Consider the following 20,623-nt stretch of genomic DNA (forward strand, 5'->3'; position numbering starts at 1 on the left):
AGATAATGTATGTATTTATATTATATGTATATTACATGTATATATGTAAATAAACTGGCAGCCCATATCTGTTTCTTGTAACATTTCTTTCATAATTTGAATTTTCATTGTATTTGTTTACCATTGTGGAACATTAAACATATTTCTTTGTATTATAACTTAATTTCCAGTCCTTAAAAGAAAACTCAGCTAATTATTTTGAAACCTCCTTAAAGATAGTCTTTCTAACACATCTTTGTGTTTAATCACAAATAAAGGAAACTTACTTTCTTTTTTTCAACATAATGTATTATGTCTTTGCGTCTTATGTTGTCTGTTAGATCTTTCTTGAAGAAGAATGTCTGATTCCAACCCCAATTGTAATATTACCTCCTGTTTTTGTGTGGAGATGTCACTTACCCCTTTGTGCCTGGTTACCTCTCTATAAGTTGTGCGAGTGTCGGAAGGTTTCATAACCCAGTGTTTATTGAGAACTCTGCAGAAGAAAAATGCAGAATAAAGTTATTAACTAGGCTCATCACAGGTTTAGCTTTTAATATGGTTACGTTTCCATTTTCTTTTCTTTTTCTTTTTAATTACTTAATTAAAAACAAGACCAACTGGCTTTTGTTCTTTAGGAGCCAAATGAGAATACAAATAATGTAATACTATCAAAAATTTTCCTCTTAAATTTAAAGCATTAGATTCAGTAACACATGTTGAAGGTTGTGCAGCTTTTTCCCATTTAAAAATAAGTGTTTCCATGCTTCTTGCAATTTGTGGTAGATTTTAAATGTCTTTGCTATTTTGTGTTTCACTTATACATGCACATTCTTGGAAAATGTCACTTTCTCAAATACTTTGTTCCGCTTTTCCTAATTTTGTTTCAATCTGTTAAATATCATGAATGAAAATAATAAAAGTCTTTGTAAAGGAAAATGGTATTAATGTTTAGAATTTTGAAATCATAAAAGCCATATTTCACATTGCTTTAAAGTGATGTTCATTGTATTGCATTAAAAAAAAAACCCTCTATTTTGAAAACATTGTCCAGGTTAAGAATGGCTATGATTCTAAGAAAATACCCAAATGTAAAGAAAAAACATACTGTTACAAATAATTAAAAAATAGATGAGAGACAAAATTTAAATATTTTTGTTAGGGATTTATGAAACTTGAGTTTTGGAATTGAATTTAATATTGTATTATTTGTAATTCTTGTTTTTCATCAAGCATAAAAGATCCTTTTGCATCTGTCTACTATACCATTTTCAGGAGGTATTTAAATTTTAAAGATGCAGAAGGTACAGTGTGAGGCTACCATCTTTCATGCATTATAATTTTTAAAAAGCTGAAGTATTCAACATCAAACTTAGTCTTTGCAAAAAGCTCAAGGCACTTAGCTCATTTTTCATTCTATAGATGCAAAAAACCTAGTTTGTGACAAAGAAAATGAATTGTTGATCCTATGATATAAAGATATAATTACACAAGAATACTTAGTTGTACATAGCTAAAAGTCTTATTTAATTCCTGTTTTTTGACCTCTTCATGTTTTGGCTCCTTTAGTGGTTCATTTGACTAGGCCTCACTGCATTCTTGACTTTTGTCTTACGTAGAAACCGTTGGATCTGAAACAGATTGTCAGAAGGTTTCCCCGTGTTTACAACATGTTTGGTAGTATTTATATATAAAAAGATTCCTAAGTTATGGGTTGAGAATTCTCATGATTACTTAACCAAGTGATGTGGTTATGTACATTTGGTCAAATCTTTTGACAGGTTAACCTCAATTAATTAAGAACAAATTACTGATATGACTTGTGAAAATTAAAATAACTTTTGATTAAAATTGCTTAATGCTTTGTAGGCTTCTCTGTTTTATCATTTCAAAAACTCTCCCTATTGTCTCAATAAAAGTGAGTTAGAATTCCAGAAATGTTAGTGTGTTACAGAACTTGAACAATGGAGGCTCATTTGGTTAAATTTGTTTCAGAATAGATTATATTGTTAAAATTTTAAAAATTATTTAAATAAATGAAAATTGTGTAATAATTTTTCATATACTACTTTAAGTAAGGAACTTAATTTAGTAGATTTAAATGTAGCATATATAAATGAAGTCATAATTTTACTTATACTGCTGAAATTTAATCAATGTCATTTTGAAGTAGTATAATGGCAGAAGGACTGAAACTTTATTATGTATCTATTAAAAAACCCTTCTGCGTCTTTGAGGTCACACTAAATCTAAAGATCATTTTGTTGCAAAAGAGAGACTGGATGGGTTATCTACTGGTATATAATGTATTAGAACATATTTAGCATATTAGAACAACATTTATCTTCTCATACTTTTTTTTTTTTTTTTTGAGACCGAGTCTCGCTCTGTCACTCAGGCTGGAGTGCAGTGGCACAATCTCGGCTTACTGCAAGCTCTGCCTCCTGGGTTCACGCCATTCTCCTGCCTCAGCCTCCCGAGTAGCTGGGACTACAGGTGCCCGCCACCACACCTGGCTAATTTTTTTTTTTTTTTTTTTGTATTTTTAGTAGAGACAGGGTTTCACTGTGGTCTCGATCTCCTGACCTCGTGATCCGCCCGCCTCGGCCTCCCAAAGTGCTGGGATTACAGGCATGAGCCATTGCGCATGGCCTATCTTCTCATAGTTTCTATGGGTTAGGAGTCCAGGCACAATTTAACTGGTTCATTACCTTAGGTCTTACAGGCTGGAGTAAAGGTCTCATCTGAGGGCTTGACTAGGGGAGATTCCACTTCTAGCCTTCCTAAGGGCAGTTCTTAAGGGCTGTCTGCAGTTCCTTGGCATAGGGCTTCCCCACATGGCTGCTTACATAATCAGGCTCCCAAAAAGAGTCTCTAGTGATGGTGTTTGGGGAGACTGGGGACCAGCAAATGGAAGATGGCATGAGGTAGCCTTTCGAGGTGCTGGAAATGTATTTTTCTGTCTGTGTGGAGTTATAAGGGATATATGGACTTTATGAAAATTTACCAAGGTGTACACTTTAGATTTATATACTCGTTTTTAGGTATGTTATACTTCTGTATATCTTTATTTAAAAGTAATTGTAAAACATACTTTAATAAATAACTGCTAGTTACTTTTAGATTTTTTGATATCCTTTTCTGCTTTGGAACTAATTTTTTAGTTAATATGACTCAACAAAAGTAAATGATAGGTATATCCTACCACTGCTTTAACCAGATCATTGGATAATAACCTTTTAAAATAGGAGATCTTTGATTGCAATGGAATTTCAGCTTTATGTTTTTTTGGTAGTGGACAACCTTATACATTTGGTGAATTAGGATACTTATAATCATTAAAAATCTAAGGTTACTACTACATAACGTATCAAAAAATAGTGGCATGAACTCCTTATACTCAGGTTAACTTCTGGCACCAAGATACCACCTGCCTATGTGGTGATTAAAAAAAGAAAGTATACTAGAACAATTTTTTTTTTCAATTTTCTATTTAGAACCCTGACTTTAGCTAGTTCCATGTCCTTTTCTTTTGCCAATATTCTGCATACTCTACGGGACATGATCTTCTGTGATTCTACATTGTGGGTTATAGTTCCTTTCTCCACTTATTTATATTCTCATCTAAGTAAGCAGTGCTCACATTTGCTTACTCCTGAGTGTGCTATCTTTTCTTTCTCTACTCTAACGTTAAGTTTCTAAGCTCTTTCTTCTATCTCCTTGGATTCCACCATTGTACTGAAAATGAATTCCTCCATATTTACAGGCTGGCTTTCATTTGAAAGATAATTATTTCCTAATAATACTGACTTTGTTGGGTTTTGCATTCTCTTAGCTTTTTTTTTTTTATATTTTTATTTTTATAGACAGGGTCTTGCTCTGTTGCCCAGACTAGAGTGCAGTGGCCCAATTATAGCTCATTGCAGTCTTGAATTCCTGGGCTCAACGTATCCTCTCTCCTCAGCCTCCTAAGCAGCTAGGAATGTAGGTGTACAACACCACACCCAGCTAATTTTTAACATTTTTTTATAGAGAGAGGGTCTTGCTACGCTACTAAGGCTGATTTTTATTTTTTATTTTTTTGTTACTTATTTTATATAGTATTAGTATATATTTTTAAAAATTGGCTAAAAAACTTATACGTGCCCTTTTCATAGTGTCTCTATTAATATTTTGTTGTTGTTGTTTGTTAATTTTTTTTTTTTTTTGAGACAGAGGCTTGCTCTGTCACCCAGGCTGGAGTGCAGTGGCACGATCTCGGCTCCCTGCAACCTCTGCTTCCCGTGTTCAAGCGATTCTTCTGCCTCAGCCTCCCGAGTAGCTGGGATTACAGGCACACACCACCACGCCTGAGCTAATTTTGGCAATTTTTAGTAGAGACAAGGTTTCACCATATTGGTCAGGCTGATCTCGAACTCCTGATCTCAGGTGATCCACCCGACTCGGCCTCCCAAAGTGCTGGAATTACAGGCATTGAGCCACTGCACCCGGCCATACTATTTGTTGAAGTTAAGAATATATCCCATCTCCATATTTTTGGCAAGATGTGCCCTCTTGTTCCTCTCCCTACACTCAGTCATACTGCCATTTATCTACCTTGTGACCAGTATGACAGATTGCATTCTTTTTACATACAGGCTTATATTAGCTATTTAAAGAAACAAGGACTCCCAGGTCATTTCTAATTCTTACTTTCTAATCTTAACATGGCTGTATGGACAGTGTTGCATATCCTTTTATCATCTGCACTGATCCCTTTTCCCGACTCTATGTTTTTCTTTATGCATATTACTTATTAATCTCTAACATTTGATTTATTTTACTCATTTATGTGTTTATTTTGTGTTCAGTAGGTGTCTTTACCTACTAGAATATGTTCAACAGTGGGAAGGATTTTGCCCTGTTTTGCGCTCATAGTGCCTGGCACAAAGTATACAACTAATATACTTTTGTGTTTTTTGAGACGGAGTTTCTCTCTTGTTGCCCAGTCTGGAATGCAATGGCGTGATCTCGGCTCACCGCAACCTCTGCCTCCTGGGTTCAAGGGATTCTCCTGCCTCAGCCTCCCGAGTAGCTGGGATTATAGGCATGCGCCACCACACCCAGCTAATTTTGTTTTTTTTAGTAGAGATGGGGTTTCTTCATGTTGCTCAGGCTGGTCTCGAACTCCTGACCTCAGCTGATCTGCCCGTCTCGGCCTCCCAAAATGCTGGGATTACAGGCCTGAGCCAGCACACCTGGCCACAACTAATATAAATTTATCGAATGAATAAATTAATGAGAATATAAAAGGCAATAGTTCCCTCTACCATTCTGAGATTGAGGCCTAATTTTGACTTAAGATTCATTGTTACTTCCATATTGCTCAAAATAATTTCATTGGTGTTTACTAACCCATTTTAGATGAGGTGTTAGGATATACCAACATCACATACAATTCCCTGTCTTCCCAGTATAGTTGTATAAAAAAACTTCAGTTTTTCTGTTTTGTTTTTTTTAAAGGTGCTGTGGTCTGTCTCTGTAGAAGTAGAGTTTTTCACTTCATGCCAACCTGTAAATTTTGCTTGCCCTTGGTTCAGATACCTTTGTTGGTCTAACTAAGGGGGAGGGCCCTTGTATCAAGCATGACCATCTAAGACTACTGGCTTATCATGGGATGCTGAGTAGGACAGTTCTCTTTATGTCAGTTGTGGCTGGCAGATCTTTTAATTGACCTGATGGATATCATAAGATTGCAAAGGAAGAAGCAGGCATCTCAAGCTGGGAGGATATCATTGTAGTCAGTGAGTAGACGTGAGGATGGAATAGAGCCAAGTAGATAGAATACCATGAGTAAAAAAGTTAATAAAGGTTTAAAGGCTGCAGTACAAGTTGTCTGAAAGGGGAGAATGTAAACTAATGGTTTAAAAATGCTCCAACAAGGCTGGGCACGGTGGCTTATGCCTATAATCTCAGCACTATAGGAGGCCGAGGCAGGTGGATCACCTGAGGTCAGGAGTTCCAGACCAGACTGACCAACATGTTGAAACCCCTTCTCTACTAAAAATACAAAAATTAGATGGGCCCGGTGGCGCATGCCTGTAATCTCAGCTCTCAGGAGCCTGAGGCAGGAGAATCGCTTGAACCCAGGAGGCAGAGGTTGCAGTGAGCCAAGATTGCGCCATTGCACTCCAGCCCAGGCAACAAGAGGGAGACTCCGTCTCTAAATAAATAAATAGATAACCCCAACAAACAAACAAAAACCTGAGTCCATCTCGTGAAGGTCTTTATTTGCTTAGATAAAAGTTTGAACTTCATGGCAGTGGTGTGTCATTGAAAGCTTTAGAAACAGGAATCAAATGATTAGAGAGAATTGTTTAGGGAGATTACTGTGACAAGGTGGATTTTTAAGTTGTAATGTTTGAGTGTGATATAATAAAACAGACCACAAGGGATAAATTCCCATTGCTTATGATCCTTAACAGTGGCCACTGCTCATTACACTCTGTTTCCAAACATCTTGTTTTCCCTTCAGTTCTCCTGGTTTCTGCTTCATTCTAAAACATTTATTGACGGTAAACTATGTCTAAGCACATGCCTGGGCATGCAAAATGAATAATATACTATTATTGGCTTAAAGAAGATCACAATCTGATGGAGACTTAAAAATAAAGTATAAAAAATTTTGAAAATGCTATCGTTCCTAGAGGTTCCACCCTGTGTTCTATTCTCTTGGTTACATACTCCCTTTCTACTTCTTTCTTTCTCTTTTCTTTTTCCTTTTTTTTTTTTTCTCTCTCTCTCTCTTTCACAAAGTCTCACTTTGTCATAGCTCACTGCAACCTTGAACTCCTGGGCTCAAGTGATTCTCCCACCTCAGCATTCTGAGAAGCTGGGCCCACAGGTATGTACCACTGTACCTGGCTAATTTTTTTTTTTTTGAGACTTAGTCTCACTCTGTCACTCAGGCTGGAGTGCAGTGGTGACATCTTGGCTCACTGCAGCCCCAACCTTCCAGGCTCAAGCAATCCTCCCACCTCAGTCTCCTGAGTAGCTGGGACCGTAGACATGTACCACCATGCCCAATTAATTTTTAAATTTTTTTGTAGAAAGGGGGTCTTGCTTTGTTGCACAGACTGGTCTCAAACTCCTGGGCTCAAGTGATCCTCCTGCCTTGATCTCCCAAAGTGTTGGGATTACAGGCATGAGCCACCACACCCAGCCCCATTCTACTTCTTTATCAGTTTTTTCAGTCAGGATCAGGTATATTACTTATGTCAAAAGTCCTTTTTTATTAGTATGGTTGCATATGTATACACAGGGATCCCCACTGACTTCCTGTTTTGTTTAATAGCATCACCAAGTTCTCATTCAGATTGGCTCAAAACCTCAATGTTGAAATAATCTGTACTCTGCTGTTACTGGGTATTATATAAATGTCAAGTTCCTGTTAGCTGATGGCGTTTGTGAGTTGTTCTATATGGTTTTTTTGTCTAGTCTTTCTATCAGTTGTTGAGAGAAGTATGTTGAAGTCTTTCCTATTATAATTGTGGATTTGTCTATTTTTCCTTTCAGCTCTACCCATTTTTACTTCAGATAACTTCCAGCTCTGTTGTTCAATATATATACATTTAGGGTTGCTTTGTCTTCTTGATGTATTGACCCTTCTATCTTTATTTTCCTCTCTGTCTCTGCTTATTTTCTTAGCTCCAAGGTCTACTTTATCTGATATGAATCTTGACAGCCTCCCTGCCTCCCTCCCTTCATTCCTTCTTTCCTTCTTCCCTCCCTCCCTCTCTTTCTCTCTTTCTGTTGAGGTGACTTTACATAATATAAAAGTTACCATTTTAAAGTATACAATTCAGCAGCATTTAGCACATTTACAATGTTGTATCACCACAACCACTAGTTACAGAACATTTTATTCACATCGAAAGAAAGCCCCATACCCGTTAAACAGTCCCTCCCCGTTTCCTCCTTCCTCCAGCCACTGGCAACCAACAATCTGCCTTCTGTCTCTGTGGATTGACCTGTTCTGGGTATTTCATATAACTGGATTCACACAATATGTGACCTTTTGTTTCTGACTTCTCTCACTTAGCATAATGTTTGGGAGGTTCATCCATGCTGTAGTGTGTGTCAGTACTTCATCCCTTTTTATGGCCGAATAATATTACATTGTATATTTTGTATACATTGTACACTACAATTTGTTTATCCATTCATCTGTTGAGAGACATATGGGTGTTTCTACTTTGTGGTTATGATGAAAATGCTACTATGAACATTCATGTAGACGTTTTTGTGTGAACATATGCTTGCTTCCTCTTGGGTATATACCTAGGAGTAGAATTGCTGGGTCGTATGATAATTCTATGTTTAACTTTTTGAGGTACTGCCAAGCTGTTTTCCACAGGAGATGTACCATTTTATATTCCTACCAGCAGTGGACCAGAGTTCCAATTTCTTCATATTCTTACCAATACTTGTTATTTTCTGATTTTAATTTTTAAATTATGACCAACCTAGTGGCTGTAAAGTTATATTTCATTGTGAATTTGATTTGCATTATCCTAATGACTAATGATGTTGAGCATCCTTTGTGCACATGTTGACCATTTGTATATCTTCTTTGGAAAAATGTCTATTCAATTCCTTTGCCCACTTTTTTTTTCTCATTGGAATGTTTGGCTTCTTGTTGAATTACAAAAATTAACAATATATTCAGAATATTAGACCCTTATTTGATATATTATTTACAAATGTTTTCTCACATTTTGTGGTTTTCTTTTTACTTTCTTAATAATGTCCTTTGTTCCACAGAAATTTTAAAATATTGATGTAATCTGATTTATCTGTTCATTCATTTGTTGCTTATACTTTTGGTATCATATCTGAGAATCAATTGCCAAATTCAAGGTCAGGAAGATTTACCTATTTGTTTGCTCCTAAGAGTTTTATATTTGGGTTAGAACTATTTTGAGTTGGGGGCTAGGGTTTCCCTTCATTCTTTTGCAGAGAAATATCTACTTGTCCCAACATAATTTACTGAAGAGACTGTCCTTTCCCCCATTGAATAGACTTGGCAGCTTTTTCAAAAGTTAATTCATCATTAATTTATTTCTGGACTCTGAATTCTATTTCATTTTTGGAATGTCTAATGCTAGGCCAGTTTCACAGTATTTTGATAACCCTAGTTTTGTTGTAAGTTTAAAAATGTGAGTCCTCCAAATTTGTTCTTTTCCAACTTTGTTTTGGCTGTTTGGTGCACCTTGTACTTATTACATTTGTGTTTAGGATTGGATTTCTCATTTCTGCAAAAAAGGCCACTGGAATTTCGAAAGATATTGTATTGCTGTTATGAATGGAACTGTTTTCTTCATTTGTCTTTTGGATTGTTCATTGCTAGATTTTGCGTGTTGATCCTGCAACTTTGTTGAATTTATCAGTTCTGGTACTTTTATAGATTATCTGGAATTTTCGACATATAAGAATATATTATCTGTGAATAGATACCTTTTATTTCTTTTTATTGCCTAATTGCTTTGCGTAGATCTTTCAGTACAGTGTTGAATAATAGTGGGCATCCTTGTCTTGTTCCTGATGTTAGGGGAAAAACTTTCAGTTTTTCTTTATTGAATATGGAGTTAGCTGTGGGTTTTTCATGAGCCATTTATCATGTTTTCAAGTTTCCTTCTTTATTTTTTTTTTAAGTCAGGGTCTTGCTCTGTCACCCAGGCTGGAGTGCAGTGGCATGATCATAGCTCATTGCAGCCTTGACCTGCAGGGCTCAAGCAGTCCTCTGGCTTCAGCCCCCTGAAGTAGCTGGGACTACAAAAAAAAAAAAAAAGTACTCTTGTATTAGCAGATTGGCTTTAAACCAGGACAGTCCTTGAATGTGTAGTAATGCCATCTACAACTCTGCCTTAGTCTTCACTTCCCGCTTGAGATGAGCCAGAGGCTCAGCCAGAGATGCAAAACGAGAGTCCTTGCTGTTTTTCTTTGAGCAAATGTTTGGCCCTGTGTATGAGTGTTTTAGTTTTTATTCCCCAGTATATTAGTCAGTGTATATAAACACAGATAGACACATAGATACACACAAAACCGTTTTAAGGAATTGGTTTGTGTAATTTGGGGGTACAGCAAGTAAGAACTAGGCCAGGCTAGCAAGCTGAGAGGCTAAAAACTGTCAGAGAAGGATTGATGCTGCAGTCTTGAGACAGAATTTTTTTGAAATAACATGTAATTTCACAAACTGAATCTCTGTGTTCAGTTCTTTTTTTTTTTTTTAATCTGCTGTCTTTTAAATCTCTTTATTCATTTCCTTTTAATTCTGGAAAATGTACTGTACTTCACAAATTCAGTTTTCTGCATGAACTAGTCTATTTATAGCTCCATGTACACTTTCTGTTTTTACTACTTTTTTGTGGAGGGGTAGTGTGCAGAGGAGAGTAATGGACTTGGTTGGGTGTTTATTATTTGCTTGAGGATGGTATGTTTTCTGTATTCTTATGAAGAAAATAAGACTTATTTTTTCTCCCACAATTAAAAAAAGTTTATAAAGAGATTTTCTCTCAAGGAAAGCTATTATTATAACTTGTAGCTCAGGTTCAACAGCAAGTGGTGCCTAGTACTGGTTTTTAACAAATATCAGGCCGGGCACAGTGGCTCATGCTTGTAATCCCAGCACTTTCAGAGGTGCATAGAAGAATTGAGTGAAAAGTACAGTGGTCTTCTTTCTTCTTCCTTTTCCTCCTCCTGTTCCTTCTTTCTTCTTGACAGGCTCTCACTCTGTCACTGGAGTACAGTGGCACAATCATAGCACATTGTATGTAGTCTTGAACTCCTGGGCTGAAGTGATCCTTCTGCCTCAACCTCCCAAGTAGCTGGGACTACAGGCGTGCTACCGTGCCTCGCTGATTTTTTATTTTTTGTAGAGATAGGGTCTTGCTACATTGCCCAGGATGGTCTTGAACTTCTGGGCTCAAGCAATCATCTCACCTTGGCCTCCAAAAGTGCTGGGATTAGAGACGGAACCCACTGCACTTGGTGCCTGGACTCCCCTATTCTTTGATACATCCACTTTCTCCCATCATTAACACATTAAATTAGTGTGGCTAGTACATTTGTTTCAGTCAGTGTGCTGATACTGATACAACTAATATCCATAGTTTATATTAAGTTTCACCCCTTGAGTTGTACATTGTGTGGCATTTGAGAAATGTATGATGCTCTGTACCCACTATTACAGTATCATAAAGATAGTTCCTCTGTCCTGAGAATTCCCTGTACTCTGCTTATTACTCCTTTTTTCCCTCCCCCTAACTCCTGGCACCACTGTTTTTTTTTTTTTTTTTTTTTTTTTTTTTGAGATGGAGTTTTTGCTCTTGTTGCCCAGGTTGGAGTGCAATGGCGTGATCTCGGCTCTCTGCAACCTCTGCCTCCTCAGTTCAAATGATTCTTCTGTCTCAGCCTCCTGAGAAGCTGGGATTACAGGCACCCGCCACCACACCCAGCTAATTTTTGTATTTTTAGTAGAGATGGGGTTTCATCATATTGGTCAGGCTGGTCTCGAACTCCTGACCTCAGGTAATCTGCCTGCCTCGGCTTCTGAAAGTGCTGGGATTAGAGGCGTGAGCCACTGCGCCCGGCCAATTTTAGACCTTTTCTGACAAGCTTCTTTTACTTAGCAATATGCATTCAGGGTTCCCTCATTTCTTTTTCTGGCTTGATGGCTCATTTCTTTTTGTTGCTGAATAATACTTTTATTAGCAACAAAGAATGAAATACTTAAGTGTAAAACAAGCAAAAGATCTATATGAGTAAAACAACAAAATACTGATACATGAAATAAAAAAATATAAATGTCATCTCTTCCTAAGTTGATCTATGCATTCAGTGCAATTCCTATAAAAATACAAGCAAGTTATTTTGTGGATATGTACTAAGTAATTCTAAAGTTTGTATGGAAAGGCAATGCTCCTAGAAGATAACATAGAAAATCTAGGTGACCTTGAGTTTTGGCGATGACCTCTTAAGTACAACACCGAAAGCGCAATCATAAATGAAAAAATCAGTAAGTTGGGCTTTATTAAAATTAAAAACTTTTGCTCCGTGAAAGATTATTTTAAGAGAGTGAGAAGATGGGCTGCAGATGGTGAGGAAATATTGGTGAAAGACACGTCTGACTAAAGAACTAAAAAACTCTTAAACCTGAACAGTAAGAAAATGAACAATCCTATTAAAAAATGAGCAAAAGGGTCTCAGCAGCTCGGGCTGCAGGAGGAGTGGCAGCAGCCAGGCAGCCCAGCTTCGCAAAGGCTCTCGGCATGCTGCGGCCCGCAGGCACCTGGCACACGTCCTCCCCGCCACCAGGATGCCCGAGAGGAAGGTCAGCTCCACCGAAGGGGCCGCCAAGGAAGAGGCCAAGAGGAGATCGCCGCGGTTGTCAGCTAAACTTGCTCCTGCAAAAATGGAAGCGAAGCCGAAAAAGGCAGCAGCAAAGCATTGAAACCACCATCTGTAAAGCTCTACATGTTCTTCACGGGGTGAATAATTTCTACCCAAAACTTGGGTTAAAGCTTGAAACGAGGAAGTACAAATAAAAGGGCAAAGGGGAGCAAAGGGAAAACAGGCTGAAAGAAACTAAAGAAGATTTACCTGCAGAAAAGGGGGAAATGAAAACTGAGGGGAGTCCAGCCTCTGATGAAGCAGGAGAGAAAGAAGCCAAGTCTGATTAATACCATATACCATGTCTTATCAGTGGTCCCTGTCTCCCTTCTTGTACAATCCAGAGGAATATTTTTATCAACTATTTTGTAAATGCAAGTTTTTTAGTAGCTCTAGAAACATTTTTAAGAAGGGAATCTCACCTCATCCCATTTTTTAAGTGTAAATGCTTTTTTTTAAGAGGTGAAATCATTTGCTGGTTGTTTATTTTTTGGTACAACCAGAAAATAGTGTGGGATATTGAATTATGGGAAGCTTTGACTGTCTTGGGTGTCAGCTTAACATTTCATAGATGGGGGATAGTTTTCATATCCTATAATACAAAGCATATTAAATGGCAATATGGAGTCAGTCCTGCATTTAATGTCTTGAACATTTTAAATTACTTCTATTCCCGTGGTTTTTTTTTTTATTATACTTTAAGTTTTAGGGTATGTGTGCACAATGTGCAGGTTAGTTACATATGTATACATGTGCCATGTTGGTGTGCTGCACCCATGTTGTTTTTTAGTAGAATTGTTTCCTAAAGAAAACCACTCTTTGATTATGGCTCTCCCTGTCAGAATTGTGTCCACTCTGTAACATCGTTGGTTGTGGTTGTCCTGTTTTCCTAATAACTTTGTTACTGTGCTGTGAAAGATTAAAAAATTGAATATGTAGTATACATGCTATTCAGTTGTGAATTGGTGGGATGTGTGTAACAGCTTATCAAATTGTGAAGATACTGGTACTTGATGTCCTCTTAAGGAAAATTTGCTTCCAAATTTAAGCTGGAAAGTCACTGGAATAACTTTAAAAAAGAATTAGGATACATGGCTTTTTAGATATTTGTTATGTATGTTAAGAATTGTGTACAAATTGAAATGTCTGTACTGATCCTCAACCAATAAAATCTCAATTATGAAAGAAAAAAAGAGCAAAAACCTGACCAAAGAAGATACACATGGCAAATAAGCATATGAAAGATGCTCAATAATGTATGTGATTGGGGAATTGCAAATTAAAAATAACAATTGGATACCACAGTTTTAAAGGGCTAAAAGCTCTAACATTGACAATACCAAATGCTGAGAAGAGGTGGAATAACAGGAATGCTCATTTATTGCTAGTGGGACTGCAAAATTGTACAGCTACTTTCAAATACAATTTGGCAGTTTCTTACAAAACTTAACATACTCATACCATAAGATTAACCAATTGCCCTCCTTGGTGTTTACTCGAATGAGTTGAAACTTACGTCCTCCCAAAAACCTGCACAAAGATGCGTATAGCAACTTTATTCATAATGGCCAGAACTTGAATACAACCAAGATGTCCTCCACCATGCAAATGGGTAAACATTGGTACATCCTGTGAGTGGAATGTCATTCAGTGCTAAAAAGAAATGAGGTATCAAGCCATGAAAAGACATGGAGGAATGAATGCATATTACTCCGTAAAAGAAGTCAATCTGATAATTGTACTGTATGATTCTAACTATATAATGAAACTGTGGAGACATTAAGTTGAAATTTTTTTTTAACTTCTCATCTCTTTTTTGATTAGTTCTCCTTTTATTCACATTTGTTTGTAGAGGAAAACATTTTAGTCATAGTATTAATTCACTCAGAAAAATTATGTGAAATGAGTTATAAATTTAGTGGTGAACTGTACATGGAAGCTTCTTTCAAAATATATGTTTGAATTCAAATGCTAGTGTTTAAAAGTCTATTTAGTAACTGGTAATTTGACTGAATTGAACCATGTCATTATTATTTATTGACTGCCATTCAAAATAACCTTTTTTATTTTTACACATTTACTAGAGAAAAATAGGAAACTTAGACAAACATTCTTTCAGCTTGAGATAATCACGAGATAGTCACTAGTAACATTTTTATATCTAGCCTTCCAAATAGATATGTAGTCAGATATATGCATTTCCTCTAAAATGTAAGTTCCATGAGGCCATAAGTGGTCAATTGAATGGATGAATGCATATTTAACAGACTTAAATAAAAATCTACACACAATTTTAAACATACTGTTTTCTTATAAAATGTTTTTTATTAAGTATATGTCTATCACATACTTTTTTTTCATCCATGTTGTAGCATGTATAAACACCTCATTCCTTTTTATTGCTGAATAATACTCCATTGAATGGATATATCACTTTTTTGTTTGTAAGTTGTTTTTTTTTATACTTTAAGTTCTAGGGTACATGTGCACAATGTGCAGGTTTGTTACATACGTATACACACGCCATGTTGGTGTGCTGCACCCATTGACTCGTCTTTTACATTAGGTTTATCTCCTAATGCTATCCTTCCCCCCTCCCCCAACCCCACGACAGGCCCCGGTGTGTGTTGTTCCCCTTCCTGTGTCCAAGTGTTCTCATTGTTCAATTCCCACCTGAGTGAGAACATGCGGTGTTTGGTTTTCTGTCCTTGTGATAGTTTGCTGAGAATGATGGTTTCCAGCTTCATCCATGTCCCCACAAAGGACATGAACTCATCCTTTTTTATGGCTGCATAGTATTCCATGGTGTATATGTGCCACATTTTCTCAATCCAGTCTATCATTGATGCACATTTGGGTTGGTTCCAAGTCTTTGCTGTTGTGAATAGTGCCGCAATGAACATACGTGTGCATGTGTCTTTATAGCAGTATGATTTATAATCCTTTGGGTATATACCCAGTAATGGGATGGCTGGGTCAAATGGTATTTCTAGTTCTAGATCCTTGAGGAATGGGCACACTGTCTTCCACAGTGGTTGAACTACAAGAAAAAAACAACCCCATCAAAAAGTGGGCGAAGGATATGAACAGACACTTCTCAAAAGAAGACATTTATGCAGCCAACAGACCCATGAAAAAATGCTCATTATCACTGGCCATCAGAGAAATGCAAATCAAAACCACAATGAGATACTATCTCACACCAGTTAGAATGGCGATCATTAAAAAGTCAGGAAACAACAGGTGCTGGAGAGGATGTGGAGAAATAGGAACACTTTTACACTGTTGGTGGGACGGTAAACTAGTTCAGCCATTGTGATTAAGTTGAAAATTTATGTCCACACAGCCTGCACATGAATGTTCATGGCAGCTTTATTTATAATTGCCAAAACCTGGCAGCAAGTTGCCCTTCAGTAGATGAATGGATTAACAAACTGTGGTATATTCATAAAATGGATTATTATTCTTATTTTTCTTATTTATTTTCAGTGAGGTTTTTTTTTTTTTTTTTTTTTGTAGAGTCTTGCTCTGTTGCCCAGGCTGGAGTGCAGTGGTGCGATCTCAGCTCACTGCAACCTCTGCCTCCCAGGTTCAAGCGATTCTCCTGCCTCAGCCTCCTGAGTAGCTGGGATTACAGATGCATGCCACCACGCCTGGCTAATTTTTGTATTTTTAGTAGAGACAGGGTTTCACCATGTTGGTCAGGTTGGTCTCGAACTCCTGACCTCGTGATCTACCCACCTTGGCCTCCCAAAATGCTGGGATTTCAGGTGTGAGCCACCGTGCCCAGAGAGTTTTTTGTTTTGTTGTTGTTTTTTTTTTTTAGTCTACCTACCTTCTTACTCTGGTGGTTCGTGTGCTAGTTGCATGTGTAGTTTTATAAGAAACTGCTAGACTGTTGTCCAGGCGACTGTTCCATTTTATATTCCCACCAGCAATGTGTGAGTGATCCCATTTGTCTTTATCTTTTCCAGCATTTGTTGTCACTATTTTTAAATTTTTTTTTTTTTTTTTTTTGAGGCAGAGTCTTGCTCTGTCGCCCAGGCTGGAGTGCAGTGGTGAGATCTCGGCTCACTGCAAGCTCCACCTCCCAGGTTCACGCCATTCTCCTGCCTCAGCCTCCTGAATAGCTGGGACTACAGGTGTGTGCCACCACGCCCGGCCACTATTTTTAAATTTTTATCAGTTCTGATAGATGGGTAGTGGTATCTCATAGTGATTTTGTATTTTCTTTCTTTTTTTCCTTTGAGACAGGGTCTCACTTTGTCACCCAGCCTGGAGTGCAGTGGCACAATCACTGCCCACTGCAGCCTCAACCCCCAGCCTCAAGTGATCCTCCCACCTCAACCCCCAAAGTAGCTGGGACCACAGGTGCATGCCACTATGCCTACCTACTTTTTGTATTTTTTGTAAACAGGGTTTCACCATGTTGTCAAGGCTGGTCTCGAACTCCTGAGCTCAAGTGATCCCGCCTGCCTTGGCCTTGCACAGTGCTGGGATTACAGGTGTGAGCCGCCGCGCCTGGGCTGTTTTGTATTTTCTTTGTGGCTATTCATGCATCTATATAATCTCTTTCATGAAGTATTTCTGCTTATTTACTTTGTTAAAAGAAGGCCATCAAGAAGGCCATGTCCGAGGTCAGCTGAACGTATTTCTGATTCTCCTGGGATAGTAATTTAATGATGCTATTTGCAAAAACTACCATCTTTTCCATTGCCTTTTAAAGCAAATGCCTATGACTCAATATTTGATGATTTAAGTTATAATGAAGACTCAACCTCCTAGTTTTTTATTAATGGAAGAAGGAGTAAGAAATTTTGTGGAGAATAGGTTGATAGGTTTTCAGAATTAGAGCCTGAATTTCAGACATATATTATATGAAAATCCAAAAAAGTTGTAGCTAAGTATAATTATTTTGGTTTGTCCAGTGCATTCCAAAATTATAGATGGAGGCTGGGTGTGGTGGCTCATGCCTGTATTCCCAGCACTTTCGGGGGCCAAGGCAGGTGGATTACATGAGGCCAGTAGTTCGAGACTAGCCTGGCCAACATTGTGAAACCCTGTCTCTACTGAAAATACAAAAAAATTAGCCAGGTGTGGTGGTGTGCATCTGTGGTTCCAGCTACACAGGAGGTTGAGGCATGAGAATCGCTTGAACCTGGGAGGCAGAGGTAGCAGTGAGCCAAGATCCAGCTACCGCACTCCAGCCTGGGCGATACAGCCAGACTGTCTCCAAAAAAATAAAAAAAAAATTATAGATTCATTTAGATGAAAATGTTTAGTGACTTCTTGTTGATTTTTGTCTTCTATATTTATAATATTTTTCCTTTTAAGAAATCTGGTTTAAATATTTTGTTTTATAGTTCATAATTACTTAATTTAACCTTTTAATTTTCAATAAAAGAAGCATTTTTTGAAATTTGTTCTTTAAATACTTTTAATTAACCCTCTTCACTGTAATGAATTCACTGTGTAAATTCCATACCTTTGGCTGTTGTAATATATAAAAATGAGGACCTTTTCCTCCCTAATAAAATCTTAATAACTTCCTTTATGGGTATGGGTCAAATGTACAGTAGGTAACAGATTGTTCTGATAAAATTTCAACACACATGCTCAGTAATTCACTATAAAACAAGTTACTTACATAAAGAAAAGGTCAGTTAAAGAGAATTTGCATTCATTTCTATTTACATTTATCATGAATAGTGTAAAATGCCTTTACTATGCATTTTTATATGTATATATGGGATCCTGGGCACAAATTACAGATTTTTAAAGAAGCATTTATTAATAAAAATTGCATCCTTCCTGCCTTTCCTACAGCCTCTGATATTTGCTTACAGTAGATTCAGTTACATTCTAAACTTGGCTCTAAAAACTTCTTCTAGGAACTTCCCCCCACTTTATGCTATTAGGTTTACCTTTAAGGTCATAGCCCCATGTTTAAATGTCAAACACAATCCTTTAAAAATAATCCATTAGAGCTCTGTAGAAGTCACATGAAGACTGTATTCTGTGTAAAACTTTCTTGTGGCACTGTTTTCTACACCATTTTTGGCTTGTATGATAGAAAATAAAAGCTTGTTTCATGTCTGTCTATTTTAGTATAACACCTTATGGGGCATGCATACTGATTATTTTATGGAAAGCACTCTCATCAGCCTGCCCATGAGGAAAATTAAGATTGTCTTGCTATGTTCCATGGAAATGGTCAAGGCTTTTCAAAAGAGAAAACAGAGAACAAAAGAATATGTCGGGCGTGCACCCAACTGTGTTATTGGCAGGAAACGTGCTGACTCCTTTGTGAATGTGTGAATTTGTGAAGACCCTTATTTTAAAGAATTATCTTTTCCTATTAGTTGTTGAATGAGAGGTTTTTCTCATATATAAATAGTTTATGGTTCTGACAAATTTTGTTCAGTTATCTATAAACTGAGCTTTCGTAACATTTGTTTTGTCTGTTTCTAATGAAGGCTTGTTGCATGAAGATTCTCAGTTGTGACATTGTATGGATGATGCCAGTGAAGTGATCGGAGTTCCAGTATCTAGTGTGTTGTAGCCATCATGAGCTCCTAATTGAAGGCGACAGGCTGCTTTTTTCCCCTCCTAGTTGGTCAGGCAAAATGTTAGATTTCATTCATTATTAACTCATTCCTTATCAGCAGAGGACTGGATTAATTTGTAGGGAACATAAATAATTTTTGCTTTGTGTCAATTTTAGAGATTGAAGTTCAGGCTTATACAAGATTCTCTCCCACCTCCAGTTGTTCCAATTGTATGCATTTGTGTAACTACCATCATAAAAATGATACACTAACATTTCTGTCACACCAAAAGTTTCTCGTGCCACTTTGTGCTCCATACCTTCCTCCTTTCCCTCTCTCTTGCAACACTGATTTGCTTCCTATTATTATAGTTGTGGCTGTTGTTTTTTTTTTTAACTTTTCATAGAAGGGACTCATACAGTGTGTAGACTTTTATGTATAGCTTCCCTACTCCCACAGTCATGGTATTGAGATTCACTTTTGTTGTTTTATAGATAATTTGTTCTTTTTAAATGCTGAGTACTTTTCATTGCATTAATATGTAACTGTCCATTCACCTATTGATGGACATTTAATTGTTTCTAGGCTTTTTATTATGGCTAATAAAATACCTAGTTGTGACATATGGAAAATGTATGTTTAATTTTTTTACAAACTGGTAAACTATTTTTCAGAGTGACTGTACCATTTTGCGTCTCCAGCAGTAATGTGTGAGGGCTTCAATTAGTTTGCATTCTTGCCATAACTTTGTACTACTAGTTTTTAAAATTTTAGTCATTCTATTGGGTGTAGTGGTATCCATTAGTGGTTTCAACTTGCATTTCCCTGATAATTAAATATGTTGAACATCTTTTCATGTGCTTACTTGCTATCTGTATATCTTCTTTAATCAAGTATCTTTAAACATATTAGGGCCATTAAAAAACTGTATTCTTCTTTTTGCTTCTACAACAGTTATCATAGAATTATCGTCATTTTATTTATTATGAACACCTTTATTTTTTATTTTTCATGCATGAAATCATTTATTTTAGAGCTAATGTAAGCTTAGCCCACATTATAATGTTATAACATTAATTTTAATGCTGACATTAAAATTAAACATTAAAACAACATTGATACAGAAAATAAACATATGACTTAATATGTACAAGAGAGTTAGCAAGAAAAACTTGATAAATAATTTTTTTTCCAACTTTTATTTTAGGTTCTGGGGGTACGTGTTCAGGTTTGTTACATCAGTAAATTGTATGTCACTGGAGTTTGGTGTACAGATTATTTTGTCACCCAGGTAGTGAGCATAGTACCCGATAGGTAGTTTTTTGATCCTCACTCTACTTCCACCCTCCTCCCTCAAGTAGGCCCCGGTGTCTGTTGTCCCCTTCCTTGTGTCCATGTGAATTCATTGTTTAGCTCCCACTTAGAAGTGAGAGCATTCTGTATTAGGTTTTCTGTTCTTGCATTAATTCGCTTAGGATAATGGCCTCCAGCTGCATTTATGTTGCTGCAAAGGACACGATTTTGTTCTTTTTTATGCTGTGTAGTATTCTGTGGTGAATATGTACCACATTTTTTTTTTTTTGAGATGGAGTCTCGCTCCTGTCGCACAGACTGGAGTGCAGTGGTGTGATCTCAGCTCACTGCAACCTCCACCTCCCAGGTTCAAG

The 20,623-nt window shown here is 37.1% G+C and overlaps 1 protein-coding gene and 1 pseudogene across 8 annotated transcripts in view; both read left to right on the forward strand.

The window, feature by feature from the left end:
• The window catches only part of BCAS3 (BCAS3 microtubule associated cell migration factor), a 714,981-nt gene that overhangs the window by 161,197 nt on the left and 533,161 nt on the right, over positions 1-20,623 (forward strand). The gene's annotated exons all lie outside the window — the stretch shown is intronic.
• Positions 12,217-12,898, forward strand: HMGN1P28 (high mobility group nucleosome binding domain 1 pseudogene 28; annotated as a pseudogene).

The sequence above is a fragment of the Homo sapiens genome, chromosome 17, assembly GCF_000001405.40.
Source record: "Homo sapiens chromosome 17, GRCh38.p14 Primary Assembly".
NCBI lineage: Eukaryota > Metazoa > Chordata > Mammalia > Primates > Hominidae > Homo > Homo sapiens.